Here is a 19,293-nt window from a genome sequence, read left to right as displayed (position 1 = left end):
TTCTGATCTACAGAACTGTGAGATGATAAATGGGTGTTATTTTAAGCTGCAAAACTGGTAGTAATTTGTTATGCAGAAAGAGAAAACTAATACAAGGCTGGGTGCAATGACTCACGCCTGTAATCCCGGCACTTTGGGAGGTTAAGGTGGGCAGATCACCTGAGCCGAGGAGTTAGAGACCAGCCTGGGCAACATGGCAAAAACCCGTCTCTACAAAAAATGCAAAAACTAGCTGGGCGTGGTGGTGTATGCCAGTGGTCAGCTACTTAGGAGGCAGAGGTGGGAGGATCACTTGAGCCCAGGAAGTTGAGGCTGCAGTGAGCCATGACCGTGCCACTATACTCCAGCCTGGGTGACAGAGTGAGACCCTGTCTCAAAAAAAAAAAAAAAAAAAAAAAAAAACACCAAAAAAACCCCAATATTAGTGTTTCTGCTGGTGGATAAATCACTCAGTTTTTTTCTAAAAATGTCTTCTCACGTTTACTCTTGAAGGATATTTTAGCTGGCTGTAGTATTTTAGGTGAGCAGTTTTCTTTTGCACTTTGAAGATATACTGTTTTCTGGCTTCCACTGTTCCTGTTGTGAGAAGTCAGCCGTCTGTTGCTCCTTTAATAATAATCTTTTTTTTGCCGGGCGCGGTAGCTCATGCCTGTAATCCCAGCACTTTGGGAGGCCGAGGAGAGCAGATCACGAGGTCAGGAGATTGAGACCATCCTGGCTAACACGGTGAAACCCTGTCTCCACTAAAAACACAAAAACAAAATTAGCCGGGCGTGGTGGCGGATGCCTGTAGTCCCAGCTACTCTGGAGGTTGAGGTGGGAGAATGGTGTGAACCCGGGAGGTGGAGCCTGCAGTGAGCCGAGATCACGCCACTGCACTCCAGCCTGGGCAACAGAACGAGACTCCATCTCAAAAAAAAAAAAAAAAAAATCTTTTTTTCTCCTCTATCTTTAATATTATTTTTCTTTGGTTTTCTACAGACTTATTTTAATGTGCTTAGCTTAGGTTTCTTTTCATTAACTTTGCTTGGGATTTGTCACTCTTTTTGATCCTGATCTTGTAATCTTTCATTGGTTCTGGAAAATTTTTAGATATTATCTCTTCAAATACTGTCTTTGCTCATTCTCTCCTCTCCTCCTGTGACTCCAACTACATACAAGTAAGACCTCACTGAATTCTCTGTGACTCTTATCCTTTTGTATTTTCTATCTTTTTGTCTCTCTTCATTCTAGATACAATAGTTTCCTCTGGCATATTTTCCAATTTACTGATTCTCTCTTTTCGTGTGTCTAAACTGTAGTTCAATCTATCCGTTATATTTTTCTGTTCACAAATTTCTATTTAGTTCTTTTTTCTAATGTTTTGTTACTTTTTGTAGCTTTTAGCTCCCATGTGAAAATTTTTAAATTTGGCTTTTATTTCTTTGAAGATAGTAAGCAGTGTTTAACAACCTCTGTCTGAGAATTCCAGTGTCTCAAGCTGTGGAGGTCCGTTGATTGCTCTTTCTTCTAGTTTGTGTTCACACTGTCTTGTTTCCTCATGTCTAGTTGTCTTTAATTGTGTAGGACATTGCATTTGAAAAATTATTGTAGAAATCATCTGATGCTTAGGATAATTTTATATTCTTCTGAAAGGACGTCCAGTTGCTTTTTCTAGGCACCTGGGGGGGCTCTACCAATCTGAAATCACCTTATTCAAAAAATCTGGGCTTGAGAGTTTCTCAACTCAGACCAATTGACATTCGGCTGTGGTCCATGAGAAGGCTCATCTATTCACTCCTCTATTTTATCATAGAGGGAAGTCTTCCTTGACTCTCCCTATCCTCACCATAGGCTTAAGTGCCCCCACTGTGTGCTCCCATGGCGACCTGGGCTCTAACAAGCATTTACCATTTACCATATTATTTTACATTCTCTCCCCATCTAGACTGTATCTTGAGGATAGGGAGCATCACTTACTCCGATCTCCACTGTTTAGCACAGTACCTGGGCAATGGCATATACTCAGTGTGTGGAACTAAACCAAAATTAACTAAATATGTCTCCCCGACCATCTAGCACTGCTCCACTCTGAGGAGATGGTAAGGCTTCAGTAAAGTCTTCACGACTCACAACTGCTCTGTGTGGGAGGAGATTCTTCTGTGGAGGGAATGCTAAGAAATGCTGATTTCTGCATCCTCACTGATGAGGGGGCAGGGTGGGAAGCAAAACAGACACAGAAATAAGAGACTAAGGGCACCTCAAGTGAGTAAGTCTCTGAGAATGAGCAGATATTACCGGACAAACCCAAACTTTCCAGGTTAAGTCTGATCCCATTATACCCAGACCTCCAAAAAATAAGATCTTAGCTGACACCTGGGTGGCACTGTTGTAGTGTATCTAAGAACTCAAGGCAGAATGGTTTTTAAGAAAGGAATCTTGTGGAACTGGTATGCTGAACACATAGGAAGTATGGGTTGTATCCACAAAAGCCACTTTATTTTTATCTTCCATTGACTTTTAATCCCTTTCAACGGGGGTTAACATGGTCTTTCCCTAGCCAGAATCAATTATTAATGTTGCTTAGGGAAAAATGAAAAATAAACATGGGTTTTTTTGGGGGAGGTGGCAGGGGAGAAGTCAGCTTAGGAACTGGTTTGTGAATTGCCTTTTCACATCAAATGAGTCAGTTGATACAGTCAGGTTAATTTATTCTGACCAGGCATGTGTCAACATATTATTTATTTATTTATTTATTGAGACACTTTGTTGCCCAGGCTGGAGTGCAGTGGTGTAATCTCAGCTCACTGCAACCTCCGCCTCCCAGGTTCAATAGATTCTCCTGCCTCAGCCTCCCAAGTAGCTGGGATTACAAGCGCCCACCACCATGCCCGGCTAATTTTTGTATTTTTAGTAGAGATGGGGTTTCACCATGTTGGCTAGGTTAGTCTCGAACTCCTGACCTCAAGTGATCCGCCCACCTTAGCCTCCCAAAGTGCTGGGATTATAGGCATGAGCCACTGCACCCAGCTCAACATATTGTTAAAAAAACAAGTGGGTGTGGTGGTGCATGCCGGTAGTCCCAGCTACTCAGGATGCTGAGGTGGGAAGATCGCTTAAACCCAGAAGTTCAAATCTAGCCTGGGGAACATAGCCAGACAACCCCCATCACTGAAATAAATAAATAAATAATTGAAAACCAAGTGCAGTGCAACAAACAGATCTGTATTACAGAAAAATACTGAAAGCTGAATGGCAGCAGCCCATATCCCTAAAGGCCAATTTGTTGAAGGATTAGTTACTTCAGTATCCAAGCTACCCCATTTGCCAAATGTATGATTTACCAAAAACTAAGAGTACTCTTGAAAATATCCAATGAAGGCTGTGGCAGGCTGGCTCACGCTCATAATCCTAGGACTCTGGAAGGCCAAGGCAGGCAGATTGCTTGAGCCCAGAGCTCGAGTCCAGCCTGGCCAACATGGTGAAACCTTGTCTCTACAAAAAATACAAAAATTAGCCAGGCGTGCTGGCAGTGTGCCTGTAGTCCCAGCTATTCCAGGGCCTGAGGCAGGAGGATGGCTTGAGCCCAGGAGGTTGAGGCTGCAGTGTGCTGAGATCGCACCACTGCGCTCCAGCCAGGGTGACAGAGCAAGACCCTATCTCCAGGGGAAAAAAAAAAAAGAAAATATCCAATGAATAGTAAGGTACTCTTATGAATATCACATGGTATATTTTTATTCCAGATTTTCTTCAAGTTTTCTTCTCATATTCTATTCAAAACACTCATACTCAATATATTTTATAATTTTTCTTTAGAATATTATTATACTCAAATACAAAATATAAATTCTTCACAAATATGATTATATTCCATAAATGTAAAACCCAAGCTTTCAGTTAATTGGAGAGCTAAGCTCACAATAAAGTAGGGAAAATTCTCAATATTCAAAAAATTAAGAAGGAGCTAACTTAGTGGAGAGAAGGGAAGAATGTTGATGAGCTGATACCAAGGCTTCCCTGGGGGGTTTACAGTTTTACTGGTTTACAGGGACTTTGAGATTTTTTTTTTTTGGTTCCTTTAGTTGGGTTTTTTTTTTTTTTAAAGAGACAGGATCTCATTCTGTCACCCAGACTGGAGTGCAGTGGCAGGATCATAGCTCACTGCAGCCTTGACTTCCTGGGCCCAGGCGATCCTCTCACCTCTGCCTCCTGGGTAGCTGGACTACAGGCCCACACCACCACGCCTGGCTATTTTTTAAAAAATTTTCTATAGGCCGGGCACAGTGGCTCACACCTGTAATCCCAGCACTTTGGGAGGCCGAGGCGGGTGGATCACCTGAGGTCAGGAGTTCGAGACCAGCCTGGCCAACATGGTGAAACTCCGTCTCTGCTAAAAATACAAAGAAAATTAGCTGGGCGTGGTGGCAGGCGCCTGTAATCCCAGCTACTCTGGAGGCTGAGGCAAGAGATTTGCTTGAACCTGGGAGGCAGAGGTTGCAGTGAGCTGAGATGGCGCCATTGCACTCCAGCCTGGTGGACAAGAGTGAGACTTTGTCTCCAAAAAAAAAAAAGTTTTTCTATAGAGACAGGGTCTTCCTATGTTGTGCAGGCTGGTCTCAAACTCCTGGACTTGAGCGATTCTCCTGTCTCGGCCTCCCAAGATGTTAGGATTACAGGCATGAACCATCACACCTGGTCAATTCTGAGTTTTAATGGAGACTGCAACAAGGGAAGAAATTTTGTGTTAAAAAGAGTAAAGAGACAGGTCTGATACTTTCACATATGGCTAGGACTCTCCAAGGCCTATACCTTCTGTGATATTGTGAAATATATATTTGGTCTTTGACCCTGTTTTCTAGCATACAACTCCTACAATCCTTAAAGACTCCACAGTGATGTCTTCTTGTAAGCTAATGGTTGACTGATGGCTGGCAGCCCCCAGGTAATTCAGAATGACAGCTCTTTACTGGAAAGACCAAGGTGTGATTAGAAGGTTGGGACTCTTAGCCCCACCTCCAACCTCCAGGGAGGAGAGAGGGGCTGAAGGTTAAGTTGATCACCAATGACTAATGGTTTGGTCAACTGTGCCTATGTAATAAAGCCTCCATAAAAATCCAAAATAACAGGGCTTGGAGAGCTTCCAGAGAGCTGAACACATGGAGGCTGACAGGAAGATGAATGAGAAGACATCCACAGGCCAGGAGGGTGGTGCACTCCAACTCCATGGGGACAGAAGCACCTGTGCTCAGGACCCTTCCAGACCTCACCCTATGTATCTCTTCATCTGGCTGTTTATTCGTATACTTTAAAATAGCCTTTGTAATAAACTGTAATAAAGAGGGGGTCTTGGGAAATCCATCTAAAAGCTATTCAGTCAGATGTTTTAGGGGCCTTGGACTTGCGACTGGTGGGAAAGAGAGGGCTGTTTTGTAAAACTGAACCCTCAACCTGCGGTTTCTGAGGTTATCTCTAGGTAGATGGCATCAGAATTGAATTGAATTGGAGGCCTCCCAGCTGGTGTCTGCTGCAGAATTGATGTGCTTCCTCCAGTGTGGGAAGAGCCCCCCGCCCCTCCCCACATTTTGGTAGAGATGTCTTCCGTGTTTTTTGTTGTTGAGTGAGAGAATGGGAGAAACTCTGAGTGGTTTCTACCTCTCACACCTTCAGGGATTGAAGTACATATGAACCAGAAACAAAATTTGCAGAGATGCACAGAGAAACACAGTAAAGCTGTATATCTTGGCCTTGCCCCCTTGACTGGGGAAAAAAAAATTTTCCCTGAGCATTTATAATTACACTCTGCCCGCACTCAGGTCTGGAGTTTAGTCTAATACTACCTATATAAACCAGGAACCCACAAGTTAAAAAAATAACTAAAAATGTATAGCAGGCAGATAGAAGCAAACATCAAAGCTCTTTGAGGAAACATAGCCTCAGCCCAGGCCACATAGGACTCCCATAGACAAAGCCCCACTAAAAATGAACTCGTCATCAAAAATTATAAAAACGCTCAAGGAAATAATCAACCATGAGTAAGTGCTGAGAAATTCTGAGGAGGAAATGGTATAGGCCTAATGCAACATTATAGTATCAGCCTGGCACAAATACTCCACGGTTAAAATCTCCAGGTCATCAGAATCTATAAGTAACTAAAGTTGTTGTTTGATGACCCTAGCCAGCCTGCTCAAGGGCACGCTTCACAGACTAGACTCTTTGCTGGATGCCAGCTAATCAGCTTTCCTCCACTCAAATATAAAACCAAAAAAATCCAAAAACTTATCGTTCCCAGTATGTCTTTAGTTTTTTATTGTTATCTCCCTTATTTCTTACAGGGGCCCTCACCCCCCAACTAGTGTGGGTCAGCTGCACAGCAGGAAGTGAGCACTGGGTGGGCGAGTGAGCATTACCAACCTGAGCTATGCCTCCTGTCAGTGTCAGATCAGCGGTGGCGGCATGAGATTCTCACAGGAACGCGAACCCTACTGTGAACTGCGCATGTAAGGGATCTAGGTTGCACACTCCTTATGAGAATCTAACTAATGCCTGATGATCTGAGGTAGAACAGTTTCATTTTGAAACCATTGTCCCTCCCCCAACCACTTCCATGGAAAAATTGTCTTCCATGAAACTGGTCCCTGGTGCCAAAAAGTTGGGGATTTCTGTCTTACAGATCCTTTTTTTGTTGATAGAGTTTAATGACTATTTTCTTTAAAGTGAGCATATCATTTGCATGAAGATAACTATTGTCTTTGAGTTATGCTTTGACAAGAGACAAAAGAGTAGACACTATTGCAGGACTAGAGCACAAGAACTTCAGAGAACAGAATGACTAGACTATTAAGACAAAGTATGCTTTCAATAACTGAATTAGACTTGCCCCTGAGTATTTCATGTTCTGGGATGCTATTATAATGGTATTTTAAGCATTTCCATTTCTACTTGCTTATTGCTCATATATAGACATACCATTAATTGTATAATGTATCCTGTGACAGTGCTAAATCAATAGCTCTAGTAGCTTTTTTCTACGTTATTTAGGATTTTCTATGTGCATGATCATATTATCTGTGAATAAAGATACTTTTACTTTTTCTTCCCAGTCTGCATGCCTTTTATATCTTGTTCTCTAACGGCTTAAAGCTCTAGTATAATGAATATACTAAAGCACTTTCAATAGTGTTGAAGGTGGACATCCTTGCTTTGTTCCTGATATTAAGGGAAAAGCATTCAGTCTTTCACTCTAAGAATATTAACTGTGGGTTTTTAACAGATGCCCTGTCAGGCTGAGAAAGTATCCCTCTATTCTCAGTTTGCTGAAAGTTTTTTTTTTTTTTATCATGAATAGGGATTAAATTTTGTCAGATGCCTTTTTAAAATTATCATATAGTTTTTCTTATGATCATATATTTATTTCTTTAAGTACCGAAGGAAAATAACTCTGAAGTTTTGTAGACAGCCACATTTTCATTTTAATGTGAGAGTAATACAAATATCCTCAGGCAGGGGAGACCTCAGAAGTTTGCCACATAAAATTCATCATGAAAATGCCTTTGAAGGAAGTGTTCAAGTAGATAGGCAAGTTCAGGAAAAATTTCAAGAGATATGGGATGTCAGGGTGATCAAAATTTTTGATAAATTTATCTATTTTTTTTTTTTTTCAAAAAAGCCTAAGACTAAGGCCAGGCATGGTGGTTCATGCCTATAATCTCAGCACTTTGGGAGGCTGAGGCAGGCAGATCACGTGAGTTCAGGAGTTCAAGACCAGCCTGGCCAACATGGTGAAACCCCATCTCTACTAAAAATACAAAAAATTAGCTGGGCGTGGTGGTTGTTGCCTGTAATCCCAGCAACTTGGGAGGCTGAGGCAGGAGAACTGCTTGAACCCAGGAGGCAAAGATTGCAGTGAGCTAAGATCGTGCCACTGTACTCCAGCCTGGGCAATTGAGCAAGACTCTGTCTCAAAAAAAAGGCTAAGACTGAAGAAGAGAATGTTTATCTAGAATAACTAATGTCAAAAACTCCAAACAACAACAACATGATGAGAAAGGAGAGCGAGACAAAAGGGATACTAAAGAATGCTAATTTATGTGATTTAATACATACATTATGTATTAATGTATACATAATTAATATATATACCTTCCCCCAACATGAATTTGAAGAAATCAACAGTCAGACTTTTCATTAGGAGTGATGTGTGCTTTGATAAAGTCAGGGACGGAAGAAACAAGGTCATCAAATGCAGATGGCCATCATATTCACCACCCCAGTTTATAGTATATCTGAATTCAGAACAACACAACACATGCCAAAATTCCAAGCTTTTAACACCACAGTTCACCCTTATCAGAAATATGAATAAGGGAGAGAGAAATACAAAGCCCCATCCCAGCTGACAGGGGAGCCTAGAACATGCAACCCATTGAGGTCACCCTCATCCAATGCAAGGGTGATAGAGCAAGACCTTTTCTCTAAACAAAAGAAACTGCAGTTTCTTTGGTGGCAGTGTATTAAGTTCTCAGTTGGAGAATCTGGAAGCCGCACCCTTGTTTTTTCCTCTACTTGTGCAGAACGCACACCTTTTGCATCCTACTCCCTGTTAGAAGGAATTCCAGGGTTCAGAGATTACCACAGGGCCCAACAGCAAGAGACTGTTGTTAACCAGGCTTGAGATTTTAGGGACACAGGATTACCTCAATCATTTGTTAGACTTCTGATCAATTTCATGTATAGTAATCACAAATAACTTACCTAAAGTCTTATTTATTTATTTAGAGACAGAGTTTAGCTCTTGCTGCCCAGGCTGAAGAGCAATGGTGCGATCTCAGCTCACCTCAACCTCTGCTGCCCGGGTTCAAGCAATTCTCCTGCTTCAGCCTCCCGAGTATCTGGGATTACAAGCATGCGTCACCACACCCAGCTAATTTTGTATTTTTAGTAGAGACAGGGTTTCACCATGCTGGCCAGGCTGGTCTCGAACTCCTGACCTGAGGTGATTTGCCGCCTCGGCCTCCCAAAGTGCTGGGATTACAGGCGTGAGCCACCACACCCAGCCTATCTAGAGTCTTTAAATTGTTTTTATTCAATATTTTTCTATTTATTTTTCCAAATAAGTAATATGTAGTTTACAACATCAAAGCAATACTAAAAGGTGTAAATTGAAATCTTATTTTCACCCCTATTCTCATCCACTCTGGAATCCCCTACATAGGTAAAACATTGTCTTGAGACAATTCAAAACAGCTGAGGAAAGAGATGCCACCTAGAGGCCATTCTGGTATCTTGGGATGGCCGTCCTATCTCCTGATAAAGCCACCTCTCTGTCTCTACTTGTACTAGTTTCAACCTGAGTACACAAAGTAAATGGGGTATTTCAGCAAGGTTCCAAGTTATGAGACTCCTGGTTGCAGGTAAAGAGATCCTCTCTTACCTAGTCGTTACTTTCTTTAATCTCTGCTTTCAAATCAGTTATTTCCAACGTAGAGTTGCCCTTCTCTTGAAGGAGTCTGCTGAAAGCTACTAAAAAAGGCAACACTCACTAATGTTCCATATTGCTCGTGAGATTTCTCCAAAAATATAGCATTGGTTGGCATGTGGCCTATATCCAAGGTCCAGCAAGTGACAGTTTCACTACGGCTTATAAGGGTCACCAACTTTCCAGTTTGACATACAGTCTTTTAACACTGGCTACCTTAACCTCCAGTTAGCCAATTCCATATTTTAGTGTCTTGTTTTTAGCATCCTGCTTCTGGTACCAAATTATTTGCCTGTTAGGAATGGGTTCAGCTACAAGTTACAGAACACCCACCTATAAAATGGCTTAATCAAAGGTGGCTTCTCACTTATGGACTACAGTAGGGCAAGAATGGAAGCAGGACGGTCAGTTAGGAAGCTCTCTCTCAAGTAGTCCAGCAGCATCATCTACTACTGGACTAGATGGTTTAGTGGAGGTGGAAAGAAGTCAAAGACTCAGGATACATTTTGATAGCATCAACAGGCTTTGCTGAAGGATTTAAAGGTAAAGGGATGAGATAAATCAAAAACAGCTCGTAGAATTTTAGCTTGAACAACAGAATGAGTACCAGTGACATTTACTAAAATGCACAAGACTGAGAGAGGTGCAGGTTTGGGGGTGAAAATCAAGATTTTGGGGGGACACATTAAGTTTGAGATGCCAGTCTGACATTCATATGGAGACATCAAGTAGGCAGTTATTTACAGGAGCCAGGAATTACACAGAGAGGTCATTGTCAGAGAGACATATTTTGGAGTCATCTATTTATAAATGGTATCTAAAGCACAGGACTAGGTAAACTCACATAGGGAGGGTGGATAGAGAAGGTGACTCAGAACAGAACCCTGGACACTTTGATAATTATAGATTGAGAAGCCAATTAAGAAGCCCAAGAAAGGATAATGAGTGAGGTAGCAGAAGGACCCAGAGTGTGTGGTGTCAGAAAACAAGAGAAGAAAGTGTTTCTAAGTGAGAGTGGTTGGCTTTGATAAAACAGTGTTGAGAGGGCAAGTAAAATAAAAACAAGAGATCAAAGAGACCACTAGATTTGCATGGAGATTGCAGTTTCAGTGGTATGGTGGGGGAGAAAATACAGCAAGTTTATATGTTGATGGGAATTATCTGGTAGAGAGGGAGTGACTGTAGATTCAAGAGAGACATAACACAGGATAACATCCATAGGAAAAAAATGAAAGCACTGGCTAGAATGAGGACACTTTATCCATCTACCAGACACCAGCTTCTTGACACTTCATTTGTCTTATTTGTATCTCTAGTAGCTCCTAGTAGAGCGCCTAGTACATAGAAGATATTCAAGAAATGTTATTGAATGAATAAATGAACAAAGGGAGGGGTGGATGAATGGATGAAGAGATGGATGAATGGCAGATGCAGGGTAGAAGGAGGAACTAGATCAAACTAATCCAAAGTTCAGAGTAAGGAAAGAAGAATGGGTCTTGAATTAATAGGGTTTCCTCAAAACTTAGGGATTCTTTGTCCCGGCGCGGTGGCTCACCCCTGTAATCCCAGCACTTTGGGAGGCGGAGGTGGTGGGAGGATTGCTTGAACCCAGGAGTTCGAGACGAGCTGGGCACCATGGAGACTCTTTTCTTTAAAAAAAGAAAAAAAAATTAGGGATTATGGGATTTTTCTCTGGGATGGGGTGGCAGATTTCAATCTCAGATGAAGGTGGGAAAAGGAATGAGACCGTCAATGGCAGTGGCGTTAGGCAACTTTCAAGGCATCTAACTACTTAGCCACTTTCTTTGTCTTTCCTGTCCGGACCCAGGCTCATTTGAAAAACGATTATGTACCTTTATGGACAGAAATGGGAGAAGGGCTTTAAAAAAAACGACCGTCCTGCCGGGAGTGGTGGCTCACGCCTGTAATCCCAGCACTTTGGGAGGCTGAGGCGGGAGGATCAAGAGGTCAGCAGTTAGAGACCAGCCTGGCCAACACGGTGAAACCCCGTCTCTACTAAAAATACAAAAATTAGCCGGGCAAGGTGGCACGCGCCTGTAATCCCAGCTACTCGGGAGGCTGAGGTAGGAGAAGAGCTTGAACCTGGGAGGCGGAGGTTGCAGTGAGCCGAGATCCCACCACTGCACTCCAGCCTGGGACAGAGCGAGACTCCGTCTCAAAACAAAACAAAACAAAACAAAAAAACAAAACGACCGTCCTACACTCATTTATCCATCAGGTCAATGGATACTTACTGAATGTTAATCTTGTATAGGAGCACAGGTGTAAGGGCAGGATTATACAGGGATGAATTCGATACAGGGATGATGTATTCGTTTCCCTATTTGTTCATGAGTCTGTTTTTAAGTAATCTGTCCTCTCTTGAATGTCAAAAGCTGCTGATTTCACGAACGGTACATGGAAGATGGTATTTGAACTGGGTCGCATAGTCTTGCTGGGACTCCCGTGGAAGCGAACGGGGACAGCGGCTGCCGCAGCTTGTGCAGTGGAGCTGGCAGACGCTGGAAGCAGGCCAATCTTGAAACGTAGGGTCCAAGGCCGGCTCCAGCGTGTTGTGGTCGTTTCATCAAGAAGGAATTAGCATTCCTATTATCTTTCTTCCCAACTTGCAGCAGGACGAACCAAGAGACCTGAACCAAGAGCCCTGTATAGGAGGGGGTGAGCGGAGTTGGGAGCCAGCTTTGGGGTCCGCCCCATCCGGATCCGCCATCCTACGTCGCCCGTGGAACTACGTTCCTGAGGGCTTCCGGCGTTGCCTAGCAACTGCCGGGCCCCTAGGGCGTCCAGCGGCCCAACTGGAGTGGAGCCGAGTGTCGCCCTTGGGAAAGCAGGTAGAAGAACTGCGTCAGTCCCGCCAGTGCTGGGCCCGGGCCGATTACACGTGGACTCACGCGAGCCGTCCTCACAGCCCGCCGCCGCCAGCGGGAGGGGCCCGGCGGCGCCAATGGGCGGGCGGCAGGGAGCGCGCGTGCGCAGGGCAGGTCGGGGGGGGGGGGGGGGCGGGGCGAAGCCGAGGAAGAGCGTTTTGGGGACGGGGGCTGGTGAGGCTCACGTTGGAGGGCTTCGCGTCTGCTTCGGAGACCGTAAGGGTGAGTGAACTAGCGCACTCTCCGCAGCGGGCGGGATCCCGGCGCCTCTCCTGTGGGCTGGAGGCTTGGGCTCAAGATGAGAGGCAGGAGTAGTCTGGGGGCGCGGGCTGGGCCCCCAGGCCGTCTCGGGACGCTTAACCGGCTAGGAGCACGGCCTGTCTCCCGGGGCGGAAGCCTGTGCCCCACCGGGGGCTCTGGAGCCAGACGGGGCCGACTGGGCAGATCTCCGCCCCCTTCCCTGGTCCCTAGGGGCCCGAGGATCGGCCTGTGGGACCAGCTGTGTCGGGTGGACACTGCTCCTGGCCCGGCCCAAAAGCAGCGGGCCGGAAGCCTTACTCTCCCTCTGCTCCTTGTTCCCTCTCTCGGGGAGACCACAGGTCCTGTCGGGCCCGGCGGGGGAAGCTGATCTCCTGTTGTATTCCCTCTCTGGGCATGGCCATCCACCCGGGTGCCCAAGCCAGAATTGGGCATCATTCTCACTTGCTTCACTCCTTTACCCACCCACATCGAATCCCTTGCAAAGTTGTCTTGGATACGTTCATTCTCCAGTCCCATCCCCCTGCCCTACCTAGTTCAGGCCACCTTTTCTTCTCTGGACTACCTCGGTGTCTTCCTGATGATCCCTGCATCTCTTCTTCATCCTCTGTAGTTTGTTCTATACAGAGAGGCTACAGCCATGGTCTTAAAACAGAAATCTGATCATGTGACCAGAAGCGTCCCCCCATTCCCTTATCACCCTTTGGTGGATTCTCATTGCTCTTCCAAGCTCTTGAACGGGGCTTGCAAAGCCCTTCATGACCTGTCTTCCTTTAACTTTAGATTCATTTGTCTCGACTGTACTGTGTCTTCAACCATACTGAATCTTTTTTGGTTCTTAGATCAGAACAAGTTCCTTCTGGGCTTACATGTTCCTTCAGTATGTTCGCTATGTCTGAGGCACTGTCCTTTGGTTGAAATAATCCTTCTTATCCTTTATGTGTTATTTCAGGTGTCAGTTGGGGATTTCGTGGTACCCCATGGGTGTCTGCCTGCCGGTCTCTCTTTTCTACCAGGTTGTAATCTGTGTGAGAGGAGTTTGTCGAGGTCATAGTACTATCTTCAGTACCTTGTGCTGTTAGTACGGTCATTAAATGTATAAATGCAGCATGGGTGCTCCTTGGGCTCCCTAGATGAACAAATAGATCAAGTTATTAATATTAAATGCCTGCTTTTTCAGAACCAATTCTCAACCCTCAGTCCGTGTAGAGGTTTCTTTAGCTTAGGAAGTTGGTTATTTTCTTGCCTTCATTCCAGGACCATGACAGGGGTAAGTGACAAAGTACTGGTCAGTTTTTCTTTGGCATTGGCTGTGGGTACAGGATGTCTGGATGTTGGTGAGTTTGGCTGCTTTGGGTTTGAATTCTTAACCAAGGGCCCCTTGAGGGAGAAGCTGCTACTAGCTGCTGGCAGGAAGGCTGGCCCCAAACTTAGTGCTGATAGGACTGATGACACACCAGGAAGAAAGGGTTGGGCCAGGTCAAACCACTGGAAGCCTCCAAAGGAAGTTCCAGCTTAGGCTAGATCCGCTGTGGGATAGGGAACAATACACCTAGGTGCCAAGACTCACTTCCCTGATTCAGCGATGAGCCAGGTCAGCTCAGCAGAGATCAGTAAGGTAAATGAGAGCCAGAGGAGAGAGGGTCCTGACTCTCAGAGAGGGAGGAAAAGAGAAAAATGGAAAAGGAGAACAACCTGTGATCGTATGTTCAGGTCAAATGAGTGTGAGAGGCTACAGACTGAGGTCGGATGAGAGAGCAATTGGTCTTGGCTGGAAGAATCCTGAGGTGACATTTGAACCTGTCCTGGAAGGAAGTTGGAGATGGACAGATGGAACCAGTAGGAGCGGAGGCTGTGGTACAGGAAGAGGCTGGCAGAGCAGGAGGGGAGCACTGTGACAGCCAAGGCACTGGGAGGCGCACTGCTCCTGATGGTCCAGCACTGCCCTCCCAGGACTGAGGCTGCGCCTTGTGAGGGCTGTCTCAAGGTATGGGTTGTGCCCTGAAGTCCCTTTGCAGAAATTTCTCCTCCGTTGGGTTTTTCTTCAGCCTGGCCTTTATAATTTCCTAAAGAAGGCCAGTGAGCTGGGGCTTATCTTCAGGCTGTTAGCCCATGGCCTTGAGCTAAGTAGTTAGAGCATGGATGATGCAACCTGTTATTTGGGTAGAGGGAGTTGCTTATGCTTTCTCTTGACTGTCAGCAGTTTAATTTGTTAGGTGGCAGTTAGATTCCCTGTTTTCTATCTTTCCCTCCCTCGCCTGCCTTCTTTCCTTTCTTCCTCTCTCTCTCTCTCTTTTTCTAATTAGAGAGGGAGTCTCACCATGTTGTCCAGGCTGGTCTTGAACTCCTGGGCTCAAGTGATTCACTTGCCTCAGCCTCTCAAAGTATTGAGATTACAGGCATAAGCCACCATGCCCAGCCCGATTCCCTGTTTTCAGTGTACCACTTGGAGGAATTTTTTTTCTTTATGTTTATCGATTTGGCTTTTGTTGCATTCCAATGATTAGAAACCTGCAACAGCAAACCAAAATGAGACAAGTTCAAAATCAGTGATTCTTGGCCTTTATCCCACCTCCCTTAAAGAAGGGATATTTTGGACTCATAGTTACTACATGATTAATCACTTGGTTGCTTTTTGGTGTTATCTAAATAGAATTTCCCCCACCCCCAACACACACACACCAAATTGATATACTAAGCATCCAATCACATAGTTGGAGGAAATGGTGCCATGAGTTCCATGATAGATATCTCCAAAAGAAAAGTTTCATCTTCAGTTACAGTGACATTAAAAATTGGCAGCATATCTGCAAAGGTGGTAATCCCCCCAGCTCCCCAAGGACCATGGCACACAGGCTAAGAACCAGCAGCTTCTGTTCCAGGCACTGTGCCTGATACTGGGAATGTGGATTCAGTCCAAGTCCTCTTAAAGCCCATCCAGCAAGGGGCACTGACAAGTAATCAGGCAGTTTTTCAAGAATTCATTCACACACAAGAAAACAAAAGAAAAAAAAGAATTAATTTGCAGCTGTCATCAGCTGTGGACGGGAGCCTTCTGAAGGGAAGCACTTGGGAGCCTGCAGGACGAATACCTACACCAGACTTGGAATTGAAAAGACCTCACTGGAGAAAGAGACATTTGATGTAAATGAGTCTGAAAGGCTTGGGAGGAGCTTGATTCCCTTCTCTGATCCTTCCTGTCCCAGAACTCTAAGATGTGTGGTCAGAACAAGTTGTTCTGCTATGGCCTAGGCAGTCACTGCTAGGAGTAACCTGAAACCTTGTTTTGTGGTACCAGGTACAGTGGCAGTGGCCTTGTCAGGGTCTGGACACGTTTAAAAAATTTTTTTGAGACAGTCTCACTCTCTTGCCCAGGCTGGAGTGCAGTGGTGTGATCTTGGCTCACTGCAATCTCTGCCTCCCGGGTTCAAGCAATTCTTGTGCCTCAGCCTCCCAAATAGCTGGGATTACAGGTGCACGCCACCATGCCCAGCAAATTTTTTTTTGTATTTTTAGTAGAGACGCATTTTGCCACATTGGCCAGGCTGGTCTCAAACTCCTGACCTCAAGTGATCCACTTGCCTCGGCCTCCCGAAGTGTTGGGATCATAGATGTGAGCCACTGTCCCTGGCCAAGGTCTGGGCACTTTTATTTGGTAAAATTGGAAGTGTAGTTTCTGACTGTTTCTGAATTATTTTGTGGAGATAAGAATTAACCGGAAACTCCTTTTGTATCCGATCCATATAGTATTGGGACAAAATTATGGGATAGATTACATTGAATACATATTCATAAAAAATGGTAGCAGATCTCGGCTCACTGCAGGCTCCACCTCCGGGTTCATGCCATTCTCCTGCCGCAGCCTCCCAAGTAGCTGGGACTACAGGTGCCCGCCACCACGCCTGGCTAATTTTTATTTTTGTATTTTTAGTAGAAACGGGATTTCACCGTGTTAGCCAGGGTGGTCTCGATCTCCTGACCTCGTGATCTGCCCGCCTCGGCCTCCCAAAGTGCTGGGATTACAGGCACGAGCCACCATGCCGGCTGAAAATCACAATTCTAATCTCATGTCTCAAGATAATCTTTGTTATTAGTTTGTGTAGGAAATACACATTTTTATTTTACAAAAGTGTATTATTCTTTATTGCTTTTTTGCAGCCTGTTCTTTTTCATTCAATATATATTGAGCATTCTTTCCTATTAAGTATGACATATTGCTTTTTTTTTTTTTTAAACTACAGATATAAAAGGTCTGAGGTGGCCGGGCACGGTGGCTCATGCCTGTAACCCCAGCACTTTGGGAGGCCGAGGCGGGTGGATCACCTGAGGTCTGGAGTTCGAGATCAGCCTGGCCAAGATGGTGAAACCCTGTCTCTACTAAAAACACAAAAATTAGCTGGACGTGGTGACATGCACCTGTAATCCCAGCTACTCGGGAGGCTGAGGCAGGAGAATTGCTTGAACCTGGGAAGCGGAGGTTGCAGTGAGCCAAGATTGCGCCACTGCACTCCAGCCTGGCGAAAGAACAAGACTCTGTCTCAAAAAAATAAAAATTAAAAAATAAAAGGTCTGAGACAGATTGCATTTTGATGTCACTGTTTAGAAGTAGACTAGATTCTAGGTGCTTTTTAGCACCCTGGAAGTTTCTTCCTTTTTTTGGTGGTGGAGGACAGGGTCTCACTCTGTTACCCAGGCTGGAGTGTACTTCAGCCTTGAACTCCTGGGCTCAAGCAATCTTCCTATCTCAGCCTCCTGAGTGGCTGGGACTATAGGGGTGCACTGCTACGCTCAGCTAATTTTTTATTTTTTGTAGAGATGGGGGTCTGACTGTGTTGTCTAGGCTGATCTCAAACTCCTGGCCTCAAGTGATCCTCCTGCCTCAGCCTCCCAAAGTGCTGGGATTACAGGTATGAACCACCATGCCTGGCCTATCCTGGAAGTTAGACATCCCAGTGACTATTGTCCCCTTTAAGGAGGGGGCCATGGGAAGCAATACTGGTAATGGGAAAAACGGATTTGGGAAATTTTTCTAAGTGTTGTAGGGTGGCATACTCACACTTTCAGGGTTCTGCCCTGAGAGCCTTTTAGGATGGGTAAGAGGGACTATAACACCTCTACCTCTCAGCCCCAGGCACAAAGACAGCTACAGCTTCTGAGCTGAGCCCTGTGTGTAGCATGTAAAGGGGATGACCAGTGCCTTATGGTTTGTCTTTACCACTGCTGGTTTGGGGCTGTGGACTACAATTGACCTGTTAGAAATCCCTGGCCTTGTTATCTAGCAGAATCTGTTTTGCCTGTTGGGAAGTGAGTGTTCGGTCAGGTCTTTTGTTTTTGTATGTAGGTCACCTGGCTGTCCTTCACCTTCCTTTTTGAGGTCAGTCTGTCAGCCCTAGGACAGACCAAGACTTTCCATTGAATCAACAATTATTAAAGGCCTGCCTGACCCTTGGCGGGTAATACTGGTGGGGTTAAAGTTCTCCCTGCCCTCCAAGAGCTTGCTCTGTAGCTGACTGTCATCTTATTGACCACAATTCCAAGTGTGGCCAAACCCTGGGAGTTCCTGATGGCATCCTGATTTCTCTGTAACTTTTCTTTCCAGTGCCCGCTCACTGTAGTTACTTGCCACTGTTACCACCCAGGAGGTACAGAACCTTGTCCGCTGCCGCAGACCTTGATCTGACCCGCCTTACCACTCCCTTGGCTACCATGCTCCTGCCTCTAGTCTTGCTTTTGCCACTTCATGCCTTCCCCACTGTGCTGCCAGATGAGTCATTCTGAAACCAAGCTCTGATCTCACCTCCCATTCATGAATTGTAAGTGACTCTCCTGTCTTTCTCTGCAGGAGATGTCAAGCCCTGGCCTAGTGTGCAAAGCCCTGTCCAGTACAGCCTGTCTAGGCCTTGGAGCCACCTCTGTCCTGTCTGCTTCCTACCCTCTAGGCTGCAGCCCAGCTGAACTACTTGTAGTTTCTTTCCCGCTTGTGGGCACCTGCCACTCTGCTCCCACCATTCCTGTGGTCCTTCAGTCCCTGCATATCTGTCCAGGCCCAGCTGAAGTGTCACCAGCTCTATCAGCCTTCTCTGATTTTCCTCCACTCGGAGGAGATTTCTTCCCCTGAACTCCTAGAGGGTTTTCGCTTTCTCTGATAATCTGATATAACTTGCTGGCTGCCTTTCCTGGTGCTCTTGATAGAAAATATTTCTTTCAGGGGACCATAACTTCTGGGAGGCAAGAATAATCTTCCAGTCCCTTCAAGCTTTCACGTGTTGCTTGGCACTCTGCAGGCACTTCAGGAAACCTCGTGAGCCTTCCCCTGCCATTTGAGTGACTTGGAGTGCCCAGGGTCATCCCACAGTCTCAAAGCAGAGCTGGCATTGGGCCGTGTTTGACAAGCTCTCTTCCTAACCTTACTGCTTCATCAGGTTTCCCAGGATCATACCATGTCAAGCCCTGAACGAAACCTTTGCTCTGATGCTCTGCCTTCCTCTTCTGTGTTTCCCATCTCACAGATATTGATGACCATGAGATCCCTGCTCAGAACCCCCTTCCTGTGTGGCCTGCTCTGGGCCTTTTGTGCCCCAGGCGCCAGGGCTGAGGAGCCTGCAGCCAGCTTCTCCCAACCCGGCAGCATGGGCCTGGATAAGAACACAGTGCACGACCAAGAGTACGTATTCAGCCCGGGCTGTGGTCCAG

The 19,293-nt window shown here is 45.5% G+C and overlaps 2 protein-coding genes across 9 annotated transcripts in view, besides 2 other annotated features; one reads left to right on the top strand and one right to left on the bottom strand.

Annotated features, from left to right (window-relative positions):
* The window catches only part of TTC7A (tetratricopeptide repeat domain 7A), a 160,258-nt gene extending 147,837 nt beyond the window's left edge, over positions 1–12,421 (bottom strand). Inside the window, exons 1-2 of one of the 2 annotated variants that reach the window (NM_001288953.2) lie at positions 11,710–12,421; positions 11,010–11,103 (exon numbers count right to left, since the gene is read on the bottom strand). In NM_001288953.2, coding sequence (NP_001275882.1) covers positions 11,010–11,091 — 82 coding nt within the window. In that variant the 5' untranslated portion in view covers positions 11,092–11,103; positions 11,710–12,421. The remainder of the gene's footprint in view (positions 1–11,009; positions 11,104–11,709) is intronic. The other variant, XM_047445148.1, reaches the window with a different exon arrangement.
* MCFD2 (multiple coagulation factor deficiency 2, ER cargo receptor complex subunit) overlaps positions 1–19,293 on the top strand; it is a 39,986-nt gene that overhangs the window by 13,569 nt on the left and 7,124 nt on the right. The window contains exons 1-3 of one of the 7 annotated variants that reach the window (NM_001171506.2): positions 12,419–12,564; positions 17,414–17,507; positions 19,110–19,264. The exons of 1 other annotated variant lie outside the window; for it this stretch is intronic. In NM_001171506.2, the coding sequence (NP_001164977.1) occupies positions 19,116–19,264 (149 nt within the window). In that variant the 5' untranslated portion in view covers positions 12,419–12,564; positions 17,414–17,507; positions 19,110–19,115. Of the gene's footprint in view, positions 1–12,174; positions 12,307–12,418; positions 12,565–17,413; positions 17,508–19,109; positions 19,265–19,293 lie in introns of those variants that run through there. 5 more of the 7 variants (NM_001171507.2, NM_139279.6, NM_001171508.2 and 2 more) reach the window with 5 other exon arrangements.
* Positions 11,437–12,411: an enhancer, noted in NCBI's record as "H3K27ac hESC enhancer chr2:47143015-47143989 (GRCh37/hg19 assembly coordinates)". NCBI's record gives its function as "activates a minimal SCP1, AML or CMV promoter by ChIP-STARR-seq in naive H9 embryonic stem cells {active_cell/tissue: H9 hESC(naive)}" and the evidence as "EXISTENCE:reporter gene assay evidence [ECO:0000049][PMID:30033119]".
* Positions 12,415–12,494: a silencer, noted in NCBI's record as "silent region_11457". NCBI's record gives its function as "represses an Ori minimal core promoter by ATAC-STARR-seq in GM12878 lymphoblastoid cells {active_cell/tissue: GM12878}" and the evidence as "EXISTENCE:reporter gene assay evidence [ECO:0000049][PMID:35858748]".

Source organism: Homo sapiens, chromosome 2, assembly GCF_000001405.40.
Source record: "Homo sapiens chromosome 2, GRCh38.p14 Primary Assembly".
Taxonomy (NCBI): Eukaryota; Metazoa; Chordata; class Mammalia; order Primates; family Hominidae; genus Homo; species Homo sapiens.
Note: the sequence above shows the minus strand (reverse complement) of the source record. Positions and strands in the feature narration are given on the sequence as shown.